Source organism: Homo sapiens, chromosome 10, assembly GCF_000001405.40.
Source record: "Homo sapiens chromosome 10, GRCh38.p14 Primary Assembly".
NCBI classification, from domain to species: domain Eukaryota; kingdom Metazoa; phylum Chordata; class Mammalia; order Primates; family Hominidae; genus Homo; species Homo sapiens.
Window position 1 is genome coordinate 104,808,124 of NC_000010.11, and position 20,859 is coordinate 104,828,982.

At 41.9% G+C, this 20,859-nt stretch overlaps 1 protein-coding gene across 1 annotated transcript in view, besides 2 other annotated features; it reads left to right on the forward strand.

The window, feature by feature from the left end:
• Positions 1–20,859, forward strand: part of SORCS3 (sortilin related VPS10 domain containing receptor 3) — a 623,953-nt gene that overhangs the window by 166,834 nt on the left and 436,260 nt on the right. The window lies entirely within an intron of this gene.
• Positions 852–2,051: an enhancer, noted in NCBI's record as "P300/CBP strongly-dependent group 1 enhancer chr10:106568733-106569932 (GRCh37/hg19 assembly coordinates)". NCBI's record gives its function as "activates an origin of replication core promoter dependent on BRD2, BRD4, P300/CBP, MED14 and CDK7 cofactors, with strong dependence on P300/CBP, by STARR-seq in HCT116 cells {active_cell/tissue: HCT116}" and the evidence as "EXISTENCE:reporter gene assay evidence [ECO:0000049][PMID:35650434]".
• Positions 1,218–1,741: an enhancer, noted in NCBI's record as "OCT4-NANOG-H3K27ac hESC enhancer chr10:106569099-106569622 (GRCh37/hg19 assembly coordinates)". NCBI's record gives its function as "activates a minimal SCP1, AML or CMV promoter by ChIP-STARR-seq in primed H9 embryonic stem cells {active_cell/tissue: H9 hESC(primed)}" and the evidence as "EXISTENCE:reporter gene assay evidence [ECO:0000049][PMID:30033119]".

Genomic DNA, 20,859 nt, shown 5'->3' on the forward strand with positions numbered 1-20,859 from the left:
AGCAAATATTTTCCAAATGGTTGCCAGTTGCTTTGGCACCAACAGAACTAGGACTTCTGAAGCAGAAGAAGCAGGATACGTTCTGCTTTTGTGAGTTGGTGAAGGACATCAGAGTGGATCTTCATTTATCCATTTACCAAGGATTTATTTAGCAAGTACTATATTCTGGACACTAGGGGCTGAGGATGTAAAGACAGGGCTTTTGCTTCAAATAGTAAACAAGAAAATAGTGGATAGAAATAAATAAATTAGTATAATGTGTAATACAGGAGAAGCATGCATAGAGCACAGAGATAGCATGAAAAGGAATGGCTGACTCTAAATGGGGGCAACAGGGAACAATGAAAATATGGAGGTAAATGTATGATTTGGGTTTTGAAGGATAGGCATTCACCTGTAATGGATGATGGGAAGGACATTCAGATGGAGGGAAAAACATGTGTGAAGGCCTGGAATCAAAAAAGAGAATGAGGCATTGAGTAAAGGCAATTTGCAGTTGTTTCCATGTAAATGAGATGGTGGAAACCATCAGTAGATAAGGAGACTGGAGCCCATCATGAAGAAGCTCTATCAGCCATCTTATGAAGGTAAATTAACTAACATCTACTGAGTATTTACATCAGTTATTCTACTGAATACTTTGATGTGCACAATCCTATGAAGCAGATACTAGAATTATCCCATTTTACAGTTAAGGGAGTGGAGGCTCAGAGAACAGAGAATGAAGTAACCTGTCAAAAGTCACACAGCAGAAATGGACTGCTGGTAACTTGAAGACGTGCTGGTGATAGAAATAGAAGTAAATGGATTTGAGAAATATTTCGACGGCAAAATCAACCCATTGATTGCGTTGGCTATAGTAAAATGAGGGAGAAAGCAAGGAAAGATTTAAGAATGATTTTTCATTTTTTGTCATATAAAATGGGAAGGATAGTTACGCCATTCACAGAACAGTAGAGGTTTTGGGAGGTAGAACATGGGTTCAGTTTCAAATGTCTTGAGTTTTAGATACCTTTAGGATATACAAATAGGATTTAAAAGCTGAAATAGCCTATTTGTCATTCATCTCCCAAGACTTAGTGTCTTAATTAGTTGCCTAAGCGTTCTGTGAGTTGGCAATTTTGGCTGGGCTCAGCTGATCAGTTGTTCTGGTCTTGGTTGGGATTCCTCATACATTTGTAGTCATGCCCATGCCAGCTAACTGGCCCTGCTCCTGGGGGTTGGCTGGCTGTCAGCTGGGGTGCTAGGGAAGCCAGACATGTGTCTCATCCTCCAGCAGGCTAGCCCAGGCTTGTTCTTGTGGCTAGGCATGGTTCTCAAAGAGCAAGTAGAAACATGCAATGTCTCTGGAGACCTGGACTCAGAACTGTAACACCATTGTTTCTGTCATATTGTTTTGGGCAAAACAAGTAAAACGCCAACCTATATTTAAAGCCTGGGGTGATTGACTCTTGATTGAAGCTCAAGTTACAACAGGAAATGAGTGTGGTTGCAGGAATGTGTGACATCATGGCCACTGCTGCAGTTGGCCACACCTGTTCTCCAAGCGGGACTGCTTTATAGTTTAGAGCACATCTTGTACCACCTTCCAGCTCTTACTCATGATGTCTCCATCCTCATTTAATGAGCATTATTTTGTCGTCTGTTGTGTGGGATAGCTACTCTACTAGTTGCTTGGGGATACAGAAATGAATAAAACGTACTCCCAGCATATGAGGTTAAGGATGGTCATGTAGCCTGTTAGTGGTGAAAGTGAAGTTGCTCATCGAGCCACAGACTGTACACAGTGTCCTTTATTTGATGTTCTCCTGATGTAACCATGTTGAAGCCTCAGCCCCCTGGGATAGGGGCTGCTTCCTGGAGCTTTGCATGAAATGTGTCACCCACCAGTGGGTTGGACTATTTCTGAACATGCTTCCGACAGAAAGCATGTTCTTGTTTAAGCAGAGCCATATGCCACATCTTGAATGTTAAAATTTAGCCACCACTGAGTCATCTAGAGATGAAATAAAGGTTATGAGATTTTAAAAGCAGAAATAAAGGATTTTCACCTCTATTTTTATAATAGTTTTTTTCTGAATATAAAAGAAATAGGAGTATCTGTTGTAAGAAATTAGAAAATCTGAAAACATATAGTGAGGGAAACAGAAATGGCCTGTCACGCACTGGAGATTATGTTAACATACGTGTACATTTATTTTGTAAAATTAGATGAACACTTTATATAAAGATTTATATTTAACATTGTCATCATATAGTGTGTATATTTTTTAAACACTTGTTAATGGTATATGTACTGTTTTATGGATTGCATTTTACACTTAACATTATACAAGTAGACATTTCAATATTGTAAAGTAAAATGTAGAAATATAATTTCAGTCTCATCATATTAAGTAGTACAGTTTAATTATATGATTATTTGGCTGTTTATGTTGTTTCTGATAATGTGCTATTATAAATAATGCTTTATGACCTTCCTGAAACCTAAATCATGTGGGCATCTGATTATTTCTGCTGTACATAGTCTTAGAAGTGGAAATACTGGGCCAGAGGGTATAAGTGTTTTTAAAAGATTTCCGATAGATATTGGGAATTTACTTTGCTGAAAGGTGGTATAGCAGTTACATACTTGTCATCTGATTTTCTTTGCCTTGAGAACTATCTGGGTGGCTATTGTGGAAACTTTCCTAGCAAATATTTGTTTATTTATTGTTTCCTTCATTCACTTATTCATTTATTCAGTAAACATTTATAGAGCGATAGTGCCTAGGGAGAAATAAAAATGTCTGAGACAGATGGTTACACAATATCATGCATTTTTCAAAACTCATAGAGATGTATACCACAAAGAGTGAATTGTACTGTATGTAAATTTAAAAAACAAAATTCTAAAAATGATTAAGAAAAGCCCATTGCTTCAAGGAACTTAAAATCCAGGGAAAGAGATAAGACATGCACGTAATAATTATAACACAAAACAACATATTAAAAGTACCATATAGGAAGGGAAAATATTTACTGGTACATTTCGTGTGCCAGGAACTGGACCAGATATTTTACACATTCATTCATTTGTTCATTTCCTGGCAATACAAAGATGAAAAACCTGAGTGCCTGTTCTCAAAGAGGTCCCAGCTTCATGGGAGTGGGACCTGCAAACAATCAACCACCACCAGGATAATTACTCTAAGTTGCACATGCAAGAGAACAGAACTTGCCTGAGGGAGTTGAGGCTGGTTTCTGAGAAGAGAGGGAACTTGCCAGGAGACATGAAGGAACACAGTGCTTTGCCTCATTTACTCCTCACAGTTGCCTGGTGAGGCAGAGCTTTCACACTTATTTTACACAGGAGGAAATGGAAGCTATAGAGCTTAAGTGAAGTGTCTTGCCGAAGGTCACACAGCTGAAAAGTGGCAGAGCCACAAATTTTGCCTAGATATGTGCTTTCTGTCCTAGTCACTAGATCCCTAGAAAGGGACTGGAATTTAGGATAAGCATTGCAGGATGGGGAGGAAGTAGCTCTGGAGTAAGCCAAGAGCAGCATCTCATGGGGAGAGGTTCATACGCAGGGAGTCAGGTCAGAGACCAGAGGCTCATTTAGCGGAGCGGTGCAGGGCAGATGATGGTGGCAGCCAGATAGCAGACAGCCTTACATTCTCGGCTGAAGGCTATGGACTTTTGCAGGCAGGGAAATGATTGATGTTTTGAGAACAAAGGAATGGCCTGCCAAGAGATGTGCATCAGAAAACATCAATCTGGTCTCAATATATGTTATTTGGGTGATGGATACCCTGAAAGCCCTGCTTGACTATTATGCAATCTATGCATCTAATGAAATTATACGTGTGCCCCATACATTTATATAAACAAAAATAAAAGGAATTGACAACCTAGAAAAAACAAAGAGGAATGAATAAATGGAAATGCCAAAGAGAAAAAAAATAACTTGGTAGTAGCACCCTGAAAGGATCCAGATGAAGGGTAGACAGAGATTTCCATCTCTCTTGGAGAACTCTCCTGTTCAGTGGTAGCGCACCTAGAATGTCAGAGTAAGGACACAGTGCATCTTAGTCCAGTGATCACTTCCCCACTAGCTAGGCCCCATCCTTAGTTATTCCCAAGATTTTGTTTCCTTATTCCAGCAGTTGCGTATCTAAAATGTCAGAGTAAGGACGCAGTACACCTTAGCCCAGTGATCACTTCCTCACTAGTTAGGTCCATCCTTAGTTATTTCCAAGATTTTGTTTCCTTTATGAATCCTGTCAAAATAGTAGACAAACTGAGACCTAGCTTTTGTTGTATTATTTCAGTTAAAGCAAATAAACAAAACCTCTTCTACTCAAATATTATTTCCTTTGCCTTTTCTACCTCTACTTCCAGCTGGCGATTCCAAAAATAAAAAGCTTTGTTTCCTCAAATAATAACAATGCACAATGTTGGAATATTCCAGTGAGTCATACATTGGTAGTCACACACAGGGATGGGGGCGACTTTAACCTGAAAACTCCAGCCCCTAATGGGCCTTTCCCATTGGAACCAGGTTTTACTCTTAAGGGCCTGGGTGGAGCTTGGGCCCTAAGTGTGGGCTATAAGCAGGGGCTGGATGAGTAGACAGCAAGGCAGTGCTGTGGAGTCTAGCTTGGAAAGGTAAACATCCAGAGCCAGTAGAGCTCAAAAGCTCTCAAAGGGTAACCAGAGCAGTATTTGGAGGAAGTATGCACCAGTTTCATCCCCATGTCCTTCTTGAAGGGGATGCTGTGGGTGGATCATGGGTATATGGATTTTAAGTCTTTAAGAATCAGAATGTAGAGCCCACCTATTTCTTTTCTGTGGCACTGCAATTTGCCCCCAGCTCTAACTTCAAAACACAGGGCCTTGGTCTTTAGTTCCAAAATCATCTTAGGATAGTTTTCTTACTCCATGGCCTACTGGGCCCTGGCCTGCTTCACCATTTTTTCAACTTCATCTCAGATTTATCCACCACCCTCCAGGCTCCCTGACTTTCCTTTGGTCTCTTAAATGTGCCAAAGTATTTTCAGCTTCAGGGCCTTCACTGCTGCTATTCCCTGTGAGCACAGTGCCTTTCCTTTTGCTCTTCCTCAAGTGACCAGACAGTTCCCACGACCCGTTCATCATCTGCTAAGGGTGTTTGTGACTTCACATTGTGAAAGGTATCCTCACTTTATTATTCTCTAATTCAGGAAACTTCATTGCAATTAGAGATTATATATTTATTTTTTTGTTTAGTTTACAAGACTCAGTCACCCCTACGACTAGATTTTATGCTCCATGAATTTAGGGCTGGCCTGTTTTATGTACTAATATACTAATCTACATACTCAGTTCAGTGATGGGATCACAGAAGGGGCTTCAGTAACATTTGTGGAAGGATTGAACCTGGGTCATTTCCTTACCGTAGCCTTAGCAACTCATTTCCAGTGTGCTGGGTGCATGTATAGGACAGAACAGGGTGGCTCTCTGCTCTACAGCGTTGGGTCTAATGGCCTGTCCCACACCCCTTAGCCTCTCTTCATGGGTTGGTTGGAGCTGATGGCGCCAAATGAGAAGATCCCACTGAAGATGCTCCAGGGGCTGGCAAGAATCACTTTAAAGAAAAATAATCTATCTCTTCCATGAAATGAAAATAGTAACCAGGACGATAATGTTTTCATGGGTTTGAGAAAAAAAAAATTTCTTCCACCATTGTCGTGATCATTTTGGAAATTCTAAAATCTGTTTCTCTGGGCAAAGAAAAAATTTATCTCACTGATGAAGTATATTTAAGGGAGTTTTCTTTTCTTTCTTTTTTTTTTTTTTTTTGCCAGGGGGTGTGGTCTTTAAGAATAGTTTAGGAAGACTTATGTTTTTTTCCCCCTATTCCAGAGTCACTTTGCAACTTAAGTAGAAATTCGTATATGTTCTCTCATCTCTTAATCATGCACAGGCTCTTCTAGAATATCTCTTACCTGAATAGCTTCTAAGGGGCTAGTCACTCACAGCAGTGGAATGGGCAGTGTTTGGAGTCTCAAGACACAAGGGGGGAGTTAAATCAGCTTTCCTTTTTGTGGAAAATGGGGTTCAGTGACCTGCCTTCTGTTTCCTCTCTCTCTTCCTACCTGCAGTGAGTAGTATTACTAGCCTTTTCTATATTCTTTCCCTCCGATCTTCCTGCTCTTCTTTCCCACTCCAAAGGCACATGCCATGCAAAATATTTGAACTAGACCCTCCTCCAAAGCCCAGCTTTTACACTGACTCACCCTCAGCAACCCTGAACTAAGACTCCATGTTTCAACTGTCTTTGTCATTCCTGATCAGCATGCCTCTGTGCCTTCATAGACGTTGTCCCCTTTCCCTGGAATTTTGCTCCATTCCTATCTCCCGCCAATGCATGTCTCTATGTGTCAGACCCCTATTCATCCTCTAGAACTCAACTTGGACATCAATTTCTCCTCCTGGAAGCCTGCCCTGATTGTCAAATTCTGTTCACTGACAGTACCTCACGCTTTCCCAGACACTCTCATTATATTGTCATAATATGTTTACACATCTAACTGACTAAATGTGAAATACTCTGGAGGTTGGGCAGGACTGGGTCAAATTTATCATTTGCATCATTAGGACATAGTAGATACCACTTATTAATTAATGGATGTGGAGAGCATTTTATTTGCTTCAAGACCTATGCCAAAATAAAACACAGCAAGCTAATTATTTGTACTTCAGCTCCCATTTTTAAGTCTTCTCACATTATTATATATTACAAATATAATTGGTAGTTAGGATCCTTCCTTTCTGTTTATCTTTATTGTCAAGTCCTAACTGAGCCCCAGTGTGTGAATGAGAGCCTCAAAGATGCTCTCTGTGGATAGAAGTGGAGGAAGAGGGAAGACACAATCCCTGTTCTCAAGAAGCTTGCAGTCTGAAGGAGGAGAAAAGACAAACAGCACTGATGGAAGGAGGACACCTGTGCGTGATTACTGCTGTTCTGTCAGTGAAACCCCAGAGATTTACAGTCAGTTATCACCACTGTAAAGAACAATGTGAAAGTCAGGGCCAGGTGCGGTGGCTGATGCCTCTAATCCCAGTACTTCAGGAGACCGAGGCCAGTGGATCCCTTGAGCCCAGAAGTTTCAGACCAGCCTGGGCAACATGGTGAAACCCTGTCTCTACTGAAAATACAAAAGTGGTGGCACACGCCTGTAGTTCCAGCTACTAGGAAGGCTGAGGAGGTGGGATCACTTGAGCCCAGGAGACGAAGGTGGCAGTGAGCCGAGATCACACCACTGCACTCCAGGCTAGGTGACAGAGCCAGACCCTGTCTCAAAAAAAAAAAAAAAAAAAAAAAGTCACCCACTGGGTATCTTGGAGCATAACATTATCGGGCACATTTAAATATAAATAAAGATTTGACATTGAGATACAAATTCACCACACTCCTAATTATTCAAAAATATTATTCTATCTTGATTGTCACCCATATACTTTTGTGCACATGGGAAATGCACCCATGTGCATTTCCACAATGACATACTAAATAGACACACTTTTTTTTAAGGTAGGCTTCAGGCAAAATCAATACATAAAACAAAAACAGTTTTTCATGATGCATTTAACTTTATAAGATATAATCTCATTAATACCAAGTGCCAGTTTATCAGTGGACACATATGTATTATTTCTATATAGCTGTAATAAGAATGAGCATACTTTTTGCTGTAATTAATAACTTCTGTATATTCATACGTTTTTTCCCCATAAGACCATGTAGTTCCAGTTTTCAATTTGTAGTAATGATATAGAATCTATCATAGAATATGCTATTAATTGCTTGAATATGTCCCTGCTATTGGTTATTTAGGTTGCTTAATTGCTTTTTCTCCCTGTGAGGGATAGCACTGTTATAAATATTTCCATACAAATAGCTTTTTTTCTTTTTCGCTTTTGAATTATTTCCATGGAATATAAGAGTATATTACCTAAAGTGGACTTAGCAGGTTAATGGGCATAAATAGCTTTGTCATTCTGCCAGAATGCTCCCTGGCAGGTCTGGGCCAGCATACAGTATTCGCAGGAGGATATGGGAATATCTGTTTCTTTATAATATCCTTAAATTTCATAACTTTGAAATGAATTTTCACTAATTCAAATGGCATTTTGGCATTTCAGAAATGAGTTAATTTGCTTTTCTTTAATCTGCTGAAAGCAAGATGCCAGGCCTTTTTTCAGCATTGGTTCACTCTCTACTTTTCTTCATGTATAAACTACCTGTCCTTGTATTTCAGAGATCATCCTGCTTTGGTGGGTCTTAGACTAACCATTTGTTAATGGTTATCCTTTCTGATATAAGGAAAAATAGAATGTGCCTTATCACTTTGCTAATTATTTTTCTTTGTCCTGCAGCATATTTTCACATTACACAAATTACACCTATCAGAGGTACACCCAAGTGCAGGAAGTTTGTGGTTTTAGTGAATTAGTAGCTATTCCCATGGAGCCAGTCAGGGGCTGGCGTCTGTTCAGCGCACCTTCCAGACTCATCAGACTTTTAAAAACCACTTTGTGGTGAGGAAAGAGGGAGGGCTTGGAGGTCCCAGCTCTGCTGCTGTGTGACTGGGGAGGTTCCTTAGCCTCTTTGAGCCTGAGCTTCCTCAGCTGAATCATTGGAAACAAAACCTAGCTTGCAGAATCATTTGGAACATAAGTTGGTGCTGCTTAGAGTGGTCTCTCCTTACTTTCACTTCCTTCTACTTGTTCCATCCTTCTCTCCTCTCTCTTTAAGACCAACAGGGAATACAGCTGCTAGAGTTTGGAGGGAGGCCAAGCCTTCAGCCCGGGCACCCAAGAATTCACCATGCCCAGAGCCTGTATCCACCTTCGTGGACCCAGCTTCCTGGCTTCTGGGGCACCACAGTGTCTGTTCCCCTCAAGCCCAAAGGAAGTTTGTTGTTTCCAACACCCAGACAGCCTCAGTACTTTCACCAACTTGGAAGCGGTGGATCTACAGTCATCTTGAAGGGGCCCACACTACTTATGAGCACATTTCATGAGAGACCTGGCCAAGGAGGAAGATAGGGCCCATGGATTTCCTTTCCAGGAAATTAAGGGAAACTACCCCTTATTTAGTACCTAATAAGGGCTGCTGACACATTATCTCAATTTTCAATTGGCAATCATAGGAGTCACTGTTTTTTTCCTTTTCTCCTCCCTTCCCTGCCTCCCTCCTCCCCCCTCTTCCACCCTTCTCCCCTTCCTCCCCCTCCTCCTCCTCCTTCCCCCTCCTCCTCCCCCTTCCCCCTCCTCCTCCTCTTCCTCCTCCCCCTTCTCCTTCTTCCTCCTCTCCTTCTTCCTCCTCTCCTTCTCCCTCCTCTCGCTTCTCCCTCCCCCTCCCCCTCCTCTTCCGCTTCCCCCTCCTCCTCTTCTTTCCCCCTCCCCCCTCCTCTCCCTTCTCCCCTCCCCCCTCCCCCTCCTCCTATCCCCTTCCCTTCTTCCTCCTCTCCCTCCTTTTCTCCCCTCCACCTCCTCCTTCTCTCCCCTCCCCCCTCCCCCTCTTCCCCTTTCTTTTCCCTTTTTTCCCTCTTATTTTCCCTCCCCTCCTCCTCTTCCCCTTTTTTGTTGGCAGGCAAGTGAGTAAGGGGGTGGGCAGATGAAGAAATCAGTCAGGGGGGATCAGTGTTTTTGCTCGTGGTCCCACAATAGGAAGTACAGAGCTAAGATTTGAACTGAAATCTGTCTGAACTCAAAGTCCACGTGCTTTCTGCCAAGCATGCTGGCCCTGAGATTATCCCTTTCCACCTCTTAGAAGCTTTCCCTGAGCTTTCTACCACACATTACCTTCCTTCGCGTCCATCTTTCTTTGAGATTTACCAATCATGTCACCAATTGAACACTTCTCATTTAATGCCTTGAATGATTAAACATGTTTGGCCTGCAGGTTGCCCTATCTACGTAGGTCTGTATACACACACACCTGTGCACACTTGGTTAGTCAGGACACTGCTGTGTGTTCTGCTCCAGGAAACTTTCCTACTGGCTCACCTCCCCTCACTTCTTTCTGTAATTCATGTGCTGAGCTGGTGGCAGTTGTTTGTAAATGTGACCCAACCTCTTGACAAAAGTGCATGTCTCCAGGAGTGTGTGTCTGACCCAAGTTAAGCCAATTGGAATCCCTTCCTAGGAATTGGAGGTTAGGAACAAGAGAGAGCACAATTTTTCTTCTCTTTCTTTCTTCTCCTTTCTTCCTTCCTTCCTTCCTTCCTTCCTTCCTTCCTTCCTTCCTTCTTTCTCTCTTTTTTTTTTGGAGCTGGTCCTCTAGCATGTGAATCTTAAGAGGTGGGGAGGGCCCAAGGGGTGCCAGGTAGACTCGGGGAGAGGTGGATGGAGCCTCCCTTCAAAAGAAGAGATATGAAGAGGGTCCCGTAGGCTCCCAGTCCTGCATTAGTCCTTTCCTGAGTCACAGCTGCAGCCCTGTCCTTGGCTACTACAGGATCCCCTGCTTTTCTGTGCCTCCCTGTACTCTGAGCTTATGTCAGTTCCACAGGGCCCCTTGCTTGTCTTCAGAAAGATTCCAACCCCTGTTGCCCTGGGTTCTGCCAGCTGAATGTGGGATTTTCTGATTATTATCAACCTACCTGAAGAGTAATCATGGGTTCCAGTTGGGAAATTTGCAGAGGTGTGAACTTGAACCATGCCTGCTTCTAAGCTGGTGTGTAGGGATGAGTGCACTTCTCAGTGGGCCTAGCTAAGTACGGCATGCATGACCGTGTGGGACTTTTTGTTTTTTCTGCTATTTTTTTACATGGTAGCTTTTTGCCTTATGATAAAAACAAAATGAAGTGAAACAAAACTAAATTCAGACTTAATAATATCCATCCAAGCTGGAGATAAAATGAGGGAAAATGGAAAAGGTTAAATAACTAGGTCATGTTTCTTGATGGAAATGTGATTGGAGAAAAGGCCAGGGGGGTGACATACTTTTTTTGTATTTGAGGTTTTGTGGATTTGCAGGAATCTCAATGTCACTTGAGAACTCTGAGGGGGTGCACGTCAGTGTGTACAAGATTCACCTGGATAGCCTATAAAATGCAGATTTCCAGGCCCTGTTCCCAGAGTGTACATAATGCATGAAAGATAGGGACCAGGGTCTGTGTTTTTAAGTAAGTTTCTCAGATGAGTCTGGCTCAAGGGGTCTGTGAGTCACACTTTGACAGATTCTTACCTGTTGTATATTACATTGATCTGTATCTGTTTGTCTGTCTATAGGTTCCCATGTATCTTCATCTCTTTCTCTCTCTCTCACTCTCCCACCCACACACATATCCACTCTTTCAGTAAGCTCCTCACATCTCCTCCTCTCATATGCCCACAATACCCGATAAATCCTTTGCACATTTCATGTGCCAGGTAAATGCTTGCTGGTTCTATTATTCCTCAGCTGTTATTCTGGGATGAACTTTTCCTTGGAGCGGGGCCACACCCAATACTATCCACTTGGACCCTTCCATGTGCTGGGCAGTGGGAGGCAGGTGCGCCCTTTCCCTTTCCCCAGATCTACCTCCTACTCACATGCAACCTACTCATTTGAGTCAAAATTCTAATTTTAGAAGAAAACTAGGGCCTGACATCTAAGCCTTGCCAGGTGCATGGCCTGGAGGAAGAGAAGTTGAGGGCTGGAGAGTAGCTCAACAGCTGAGATGTGGAACTCAGGTTTTAGGAGGGTGGAGAGGCAGGAGGGAAATGCAGAAGGCAGTGACGTGGCCTTCACTTCCAGAGCCAAGATTGCTCATGCAGCTATGAAATCAAACCTGCCGTTTATTGTGTTTTCCTTAACCACTGGGTTTAGAATGGAAAGTTGGCTTGAGGTTGAGTCTCTGATCTTATCTTGAGGATGTTGGGTTTACTTTAAACTTAGTCTTAAGGAGATTCTAGTGGAGGTTCTCATATGCACCAAGCTGTCATGGTAACTTCAGGGGTGCCAAAATTGCTGCCTTAATTGACACCCTCTAATCAGTAAGGAGGTGGAATTTGAAACATTAGGAGGGAACAGATTTTTTAGGGTAAGAATATATTAGGTGCTGCCATTTACGTGTCGTGGGATTTTGCTTGGTTACCTAATCTAAGTCTATTTCATCCTTGAATAAAATGGGAACAATAGTAATCATAGGATTGTTGCAAGGGTTAAATGAGAAAATAGATGTAAATATTGACTTCTGGTACTACTTGCATTATTGTCATTAACTGGAATTTATCAACTGGCTAACATTTATCCTATAAATATTTACTTATTAACAGATGTTTATAAACATCTACTATGTATCAAGTAGGGTTTTATTTATTTATGGGTTTACCAATTCATAACAAAGATCAAGAGGCAAGAAAAAACAGTAGGTCATTCATTCTGAAGATACTTTTTGAACACCTACTGTGGATTAGGTGTTTGAAGCACCTACTGTGAACAAAATGCTCTGCTTTTCTGCAGCCCTGTGTTCTGTTTGGTCATGCCTAATTACTCTTTTAATTGTAAAGGATTGAGTTTGTCAATATTTTATTTAGAATATTTGCATCAAAATTAAATGTGAACTATTTTTGACTCCCCCTAAAATAAAGAGACTCAACACTTGCTCTTAAATATCTCACAGTGTAGTGAGAGAAGATAAAATATTAGTATTACAATACAATAAGAAGTTGCTGTAATGTTAGGATGCATCAACAGTCATATATATAAAAGAAGGAGCAACAGAATCTGTCTTGAGAAGTCATGATAGGCCTTGGAGAAGTGATTTTGATCTGAGGCTTAAATGGTGGGAGAAGTATTTTAAGCACAACAGGAACACAAATGGGTTGAAACAGAAGAAAGATTGATTGACTGATTGAACAGAAAGGACTAGATGTTTATGGCTTCATGGCAGGCTTGATCCAACAGCTCAAATGATGATGTCGTCAAAGACTTAGATTTTCTTAGTATTTGTACTCCGGCTTGTGCATTCTTGGCTGCATCTTCGGGTTCCACACTGTGTACCTTCAGCAACTTCAGGCATTCTCTATACTCTGTTGGTTGAAGCAGTCACAACATTTTGAAGGGAGGAACATAGACCCCACTTCTCAACAGAGGGTGCATCAGGGTCACATTGTAAGGTAAGCATGTGGAATGGGAGATACCAGAAAATATAATGGGCCACAGATGGAGAGATGAGTGTGGACTGTGGTCATGAGGGATAACTCCCTGCTGGGGACAGGGCTTGAGCTGATGCTTAAAGAGTGGATAGCTGGAAGCTGGCAGGCAGAGAAGGGCAGGAAGAGAACATGTGCACATTCCTGGGGACACCGGTGAGGGTTTGTGTTCCTTTTTGGGTCTTCTAGATGCCTCCTTACTGCCCAGAGCAACTAAATAGGCTAAAAATGGAGTCTGTTGCTACCATCTATCTGTAGAAGACCAAAGCATTCAGCAATTTCAAAGCACATGGCTCCTTTTTGGTGTCTTACATATTCAACCTCAGGTTTAAAGTCCCCTGTGCCCAGTAAGTTGATCAGGCTTGATAAAATGCAAAGCCATTTCTCCTGACTTCTCCCTTTGTTTTCTCTTCTATTCTGGGGTACGAGGAGCCTCTGTACCATGGGATTGGAAGACTCACCAATGTCTTTGAGTTGGCACAATAAGTACCCTTGTTAGCACAGAAATCACATTAAATCAGTTATGTGCTTACTTGCCTGTCTGTCCCCCATTATGCTGAGAGTCTTGGGAGGGAAGAAACTGTGTCTAACACATTCCAGATTCTGAAGCAGAGCCAGGTACATAGTAGGTGCTGTGTACAAGGTTATTGGAATAAAATAACCTTGAATGAAACTTCAAGGTTGAATGACAGCAGTGTTCAACACACCTGGGCACTTTCATACCATCTCAGCCTACTGCAAGGTCCACATTTGTTTCCACCCCTTATTTTTTATTCCTTCTCTTAGTCCTGGAGTCTGACCAGCTCCTCTGTGATTCTTATTTCTCTAGATCAGGAATCTGATCTGTCCTCAGTTTCTGTATCTGTATCTGACAGTCAGGTCTCAGAACTGAGGCCTTAATTCCCAAGCACACGTTGTCTGTTTCTTATCATGGAGGGAGATTGTTTAGACCAGAGTCAACACACAAGAAGGACTGCCGTGTCCCTTTACCCTTTTCCTTGGCAAGTTTTCCTGGCATGAACTCTTGCTGTAACTAAGATATGTGAGGAACTTACTTTTACAGAGATATTTTGCCAAAGATAAATTTCTCAGGACTGTGGCCATGGATTCTTAGCAAAAGGAAGGACAAGGAGATACGATCAAATGTGTGCTGGTGAATCAATACAAATAAATTATGTGTTCTTTGTTATTATGTCCTAGGCTACATGAGAGAGGGCTCTTAATCATCCACCATCAGCCGCTGGAGGTTCTGCTCCTTTCTCAGGAGTTATGTGGAGACAAACCCAGGCATATGTTATTTTAGGCAACCCAGATCACTTTCTGGTGGGAATATTGGTGAGGCTGCTAAAGGAATGCTAGCCTCTGCAAAAGACTGGAGGAGAGCAATTCCTCTCAGAGTCTGGCATGGCCCTCAATACGCTCTAAGTTTTTCTACCTCTAATGTCCCTGGGATTTATCAGCACTTTCCTGCTTGAATGAATGGTCATTCTGCTGTGATATATGGGACCAATCTCTGGCGATTTTAATCAAGTATGTGACTAAGAGCTTGGACAGATTAAAATCTACACCTACCCCAACTTCCCACCATATAAATGAGGTGGCTCTTTATCTCTTATATCTTGGGATGTGGCTGCCATGGCCCTGTTATCTGCCATTCTGGGCTAGGACCTAGACCAAGGCCAACTCAGGAAGTACATGCATTCTGGGCAAGGTGAGATCCAGGTAAGCAGTTTGTAAAAGGAGCTAAAGAGGTGACGAGACATGGGGGTGAGGCTAGGAGATAGTAATCTAGGAAAGGAGCCTCTCCAAAGGCACTGGACAGGCAGTAACAAACATGCCTGCAGGGCCAATAGGCAGATGAGTAACGACAAAATAGGGCACAGGGAGAACCTAGGCCATGAGCAGGTTTCCAAGACAGGGAGGATGCACAAGTTTGGGGAAATAAGTTGGAAACCACCGCAACCAACCTGGAGCATGAAATGAGGTTTAGGCCATGGGAACACTTAGATGGTCCTCCCCTATGTGTTGGATTGGAGCTGGATCTCAAACCTAGACTTGTGATTAAAATGAATTATACTAACTTCTTGGATATCTCTGAGACACCTTTTTTTTCCTATTCTGTTCCATTTGCAGTTTTTAGCGACAACTTTTTCATAAGGGATTCCCTCCCACCTCCCTTCTCTCCTTTCCCACTGCCATTGCCTCAGTTCAGATTTCCTACCTCTTATGTTTGGACCATTGCAGTATCCTTCTCACTAGGCTTTCTGCTTTTCATCTTCACTGATCCACCCTTCATACTCCTGGCCATTTCATTTCCAAAGTGCAGGTCCTAAAAGGTCACTGACTTATTCAAGCTCATTAGACATCTTCATGGTATTTAATGAGTCAAGTCAAAACTCTTTAACTTGGTGTAGTTGGCAGAATAGTGGCCTCCCAAAGATACCCATGTCCTGATCTCTAGAACCTGTGGATGTGTTAGGTCACATGACAAAGGGAAATTAAGACAGTAGGTGGAAATAAGGTAGCAGTCAGCTGAGTTTAAGATAAAGCGATTGTCTTGAATTATTTGGCTGGGTACAATGTAATCATGAGGGTCCTTAAATGGGGAAGAGGGAGGAAGAAAAGTCAGTTTTCAGAGTGATGCCATATGAGAAAGACCTGACCAGCCATTGTTGGCTTTGAAGACTGAAGGGGACCATGAGTCAAGGAATGGGGGAAAAGAAAACTGTAGAAGCTGGGAAAAGAAAAACAACAGATTTTCCCCTAGAGCCCCCACAAGGAATGTAGAACACAACCCTACCAATACCTTGATTATAGCCAGTAAAACCCATTTTGGACTTCTGGCCCCCATAACTGTGAAATGATACATTTGTGTTATTTTAAATTCGTGGTAATCTGTTACAACAGCAATAGAAAATTTACACACCTGGTATTTAAAACCACTGTTATTTGGCCCCAGTAGATATCTCCATCTTCTTCTCTATGTATGTGAAGCTCTAGCCTCAGAAGACAATGGGTAGAGTGTCTCCAACCTAGTGTAAGTCAGACCAGTTTCAAATTTTTTTTGCAGGAAGTTGTATAAGCATGTATCTCCCTTCTTGCACTGAAAGTGCCTTAGGTCAGGAACTTTGTGTCTCTCATCCCTACATCCCCTTAGTACCAAGCATGATGTGTTGCCTGTAAGAGAGACTCTGTTGTAATTTGTAGGATTGAATAGGAGGTGGGTTGTGATGAATGCCCAATCATGAGTTGGTGATAGGGTATTCACTTCACTGTTATTTACAGCAGTGGTGCTGAACGCTGTCCCGGGTGCTGGAGGTGCTGAGCGCTGTCCCAGGTGCTGGAGATATAACTGCAAATAAAACAGATGTGTTGATACTGAAGCATCTTACAGTCTAGCCAAGCTCCTGCCTTTGCCCTCATCCGAAGCAGCTGAGGCTAGTGGCTGCTTCCAGTCTGGAGAGATGCTGATCCCCAGGAAATTCACTGGAGTCAGCAGCTGAAATTGTTTGGCTGGGAGCTCTTTTAGCTCCTGAGACCCAAGAGGGAGCACTGCCCCTGACAGAAGCTCCAGAAGAAAGGGAAGTGTGTGTGCCTGCAGGCAGGATCAGCAGAGACAGCCCCTGAAATGAAAAGAGACAAGAGGGTTGGATCACACACCAGGCAAAATGAACTTGGATGGACCTGTGATCTTCCCATCGCGGAGGCTGTCAGTGCGTGTCCACACAAAGCAAGCATTGGCATGCAGGGAGTTCCAGGCTTTTATCTCTGTGTCAGTGAGAGGCCTGATGAGGTTGCTCTTTATTTTGTGAGCTTCAAGTTGTCACCACTAAAGTGACATGCCCCTTCTTGAGGACATGGCATTTCCTCACTCAAATGGCAAATGACCTGGTTTGCTCAGAGACAGGGAAAAAGGAAGGAACCTAATGCATGCTGACGGCTTACTGTGTGCCTGGCAGTACAATACCCTTTAGCTGATCCTCACAACAACTGAATGAAGGGCGTGATCTTGGCTAACTTTAGTATGAGGACACTGAGGCTCAATAGGGTAAGCCCCTTTCCTAAGGTCACACAAAATAAGTGGCAGACCCTGGATTCTACACTAAAACTTTCTGGTTTAATGCTTTCACTTTTTCTCAAAGAAACAGATCACTTATATTAATATTTTCATTTGTGTTAATGATCATCTCTGGAGGTTTCACATTAGTGGCATTGCAGCCAGTTTCCTCTTCCATCAGCTCACATCCGTTTCTGCCCTTGGCTGCCTTCTCAGGGTGGTTTTGATGGTGGTTGGATGGATGGAGTAATGGACAGGCAGAAAGGTATGAGCTCAGACTCCTACCTAATGGTACACCTTTGGAGAGAATTAAGCCGTGGTCTGGTGAGATGTTATTATGGGATATAGAAATTGGCAAGGAATTGTGTGGTCATTTAGCCCCACCCCTGTTGCTGCGCTGCATGCTACCTAAATCATTTCCAAGAATGGCCATCTCATTTTCAAAGTCCCTTAGGGAATGAGAGTGAATGGATTTTTAATTCATTTTTAATGGCTCGTTACACAAAACCAGAACAACCCCCCACTATTCAACAGCCATTTTTCACAGTCTCCTTGTTTCAACAGCATTGCGTTTTCATTTCCTTGATTTGTCACTTGCCTTATTCAGTTACCAAATTCTGCAAAGTACTTTCTTAACAATGGCCCATTTTTAAGTCAGGATAACTACTGCTTGTTAATTTCTATATATCTTATCTCTCCCTTGGATCCCCTTGGAATAGAGAACCCTGTGTTTGGGTGCTGACTCCTGCCTCTTCCTACTTGCATGAGCGGGACAGTTTCCTTATCTAGGCAATGGGGATAATGCTATCTCCCTTTTGTCATAGTTATGCTCATTATCTGTGTAATACACATCAAGCATCAAGTACAGTGGTTGGCACTTAGTAGGTCCTCAGTAAATGTTAGCATGCTCACCTTGGCCCTTCCTGTATTTGTTCCTCTCTTGTATAAACTACCGTAGTTTAATTAAGTTGTGATTTTGTCTGGAAATTTAGTGTTTTCTTTCATCTACACCCCATTAGGTACAGGAGTATACACACATATACCTCAGAGATATTGTGTGTTACAGTCCACCACAATAAGGTGAATATCACAATAAAGCAAGTCACACAAGTTTTTTGGTTGCCCCATGCACATAAATGTTATGATTACATTATACTGTCATCTATTAAGTGTTAAGTAGCATCATGTCTAAAAAAATGCATACTTCAAGTAAAAATATTTTATTGCTAAAAATACTAATGATTACCCGAGCCTTTAGTGAGAAATCATCTTTTTTGCTGGTAGAGGGTCTTGCCTCAATGTCAATGGCTGCTGACTGATCAGGTTTGTGGTTGGTGAAGATTGGGATGGCTGTGGCAATTTCAGAAAATGAGACCACAATGAAGTTTGCTGCATTGGTTGACTCTTCTTTCATGAAAGATTTCTCTGTAGAATGTGATGCTGTCTGATAGCATTTTACCCACAGTAAACTTCTTTCAGAATTGAAGTCAATCTTCTCAAGCCCTGCCACTGCTTTATCCACTCAGTTTATGGAATAGTCTAAATCTTCTGTTGTCATTTCAATAATGTTTGCAGCATTTTCACCAGGAATAGATTCCATCTCAAGAAACTGCTTTCTTTTCTCATCTGTTTAAGTTTAATCATGAGATTGCAGAAATTCAGACACATCTTCAGGATCCACTTGTAATTCTAGTTCTCTTGCTATTTCGACCATATCTGCAGTTACTTTGTCCACTGAAGTCTTAAACCCCTCAAACTTATCTATGAGAGTTGAAATCAATCTATTCCAGACTCCTATTCATGTTGATATTTTGATCTCCTCCCATGAATCATAAATGTTCTTCATGACATATGGAATAGTGAATCCTTTCCAGGCGGTTTTCAATTTACTTTGCTGAGATTCATCAGAGGAATCACTGTTTATGGCAACATAGTTTTATGAAATGTATTTTTTTAAAAAAATAAGTCTTGGAAGTGAAATTACTCCTTGACTCACGGGTACATGATGGATGTTGTGATAGCAGGCATAAAAACAACATTAATATCTTTGTACATCTCCATCGTAGATCTTGGGAGACCAGGTGCATTGTCAGTAAGCAGTAATATTTTGAAAGAAATATTTTTATTGGAGCAGTAGGTCTCAACAGTGGGCTTAAAATTTTCAGTAAACTGTGCTGTAAAAAGATGTGCTGTCATCCAAGCTTTGTTATTCCATTTATAGAACACAAGCAGAGGAGATTGAGCATAATTCTTAAGGGCCCTAGGATTTTTGGAATGGTAAGTGAGCACTGGCTTTAGCCTAGATGAGTTATCCTGTCTTTTGAAGCTTTGAAGCCAGGCATTGAGTTCTCCTCTCTAACTATGAAAGTCCCAGATGGCATCTTCTTCCAACAGAAGGCTGTTGGTTTACATTGAAAATCGATTATATAGTGTAGCCACCTTCATTAATGATGCAAGGTAGATCTTCTGAAAACTTGCTGCAGCTTCTCCATCAGAACTTGCTGCTTCACTTTGTACTTGTATGTTATGGACATCCCTTCTTTTCTTAAACTTCATGAACCAACCTCTGCTAGCTTCAAACTTTTCTTCTGAAGCTTACCTCTCTTAGACTTCATGGAACTGAAGAGCGTTAGGGCCTTGCTCTGGATTAGGCTTTGGCTTAAATGAGTGTTGTGGCTGGTTTGATCTTCTGTCACTAAACCTTTTTCCCTATCAGCAATAAGGCTGTTTTTCTTTTCACGTGTATGTTCACTGGAATAGTGTTTAAAATTTCCTTCAAGGACTTTTCCTTTGCATTCAGAGTTTGGCAAACTCTGGCACAAGAGACCTAGCTTTCAGTCTATTTTGGCTTTTAATGGGCCTTCTTTGCTAAGCTTAACCATTTTTACTTTTAATTTAAAGTGTGAGATGTGTGACTCTTCCTTTTACTCAAACACTTAGAGGCCATTGTAGGGTTGATATTTGGCCTAAATTCAGTATTGTTGTGTCTCAGAGAATGGGGGCATGTGGGCTGAGGAGAAGGAGAGAGATGGGGAACAGCCGATCAGTGGAGCAGTCAAAACTTGCACATTTGTCAATTAAGTTCACTGTTTTATATGGGCATGGTTCATGGTGCCCAAAAAACAATTACAAAGTAACATCAAAGATCACTCATCACAGGTCATCATAACAGATATAATAATAACAAAAAAGCTTGAAATGTTGTGAGAATTTCCAAAATGTGACGCAGGGACACAAGGTGGGCACATGCTGTTGGAAACATGGTTCCAACAGGCTTGCTCGACATGGGGTTGCCACAAGCCTTCCATTTGGAAAAATTAAAAAGAAAACCACAGTATCTGTGAAGTGCAATCAAGTGAAACACAGTAAAACAAGGTACCTTTGTCTTCTCTAGTGGCCCTTAGAGAATGATAACTCTTTAAAACTTAATATGGTCTGATTTCGGGAGATTGCTTTCATTATCTTCCCACCCTGCTCCTGTGTCCCTTTCTCCTTACCCTGTTGTGGACATTCTCAAAGTTATTTCAAAGCCACCTTGAGCTCTCCCTTCTGGAGAGGCTTGGCAGACTAACTTATCTAAGGAAAAGAAATCCTTGAAAGACATTGCTCCCAGAAAGGAGAGGGCTGAGAGT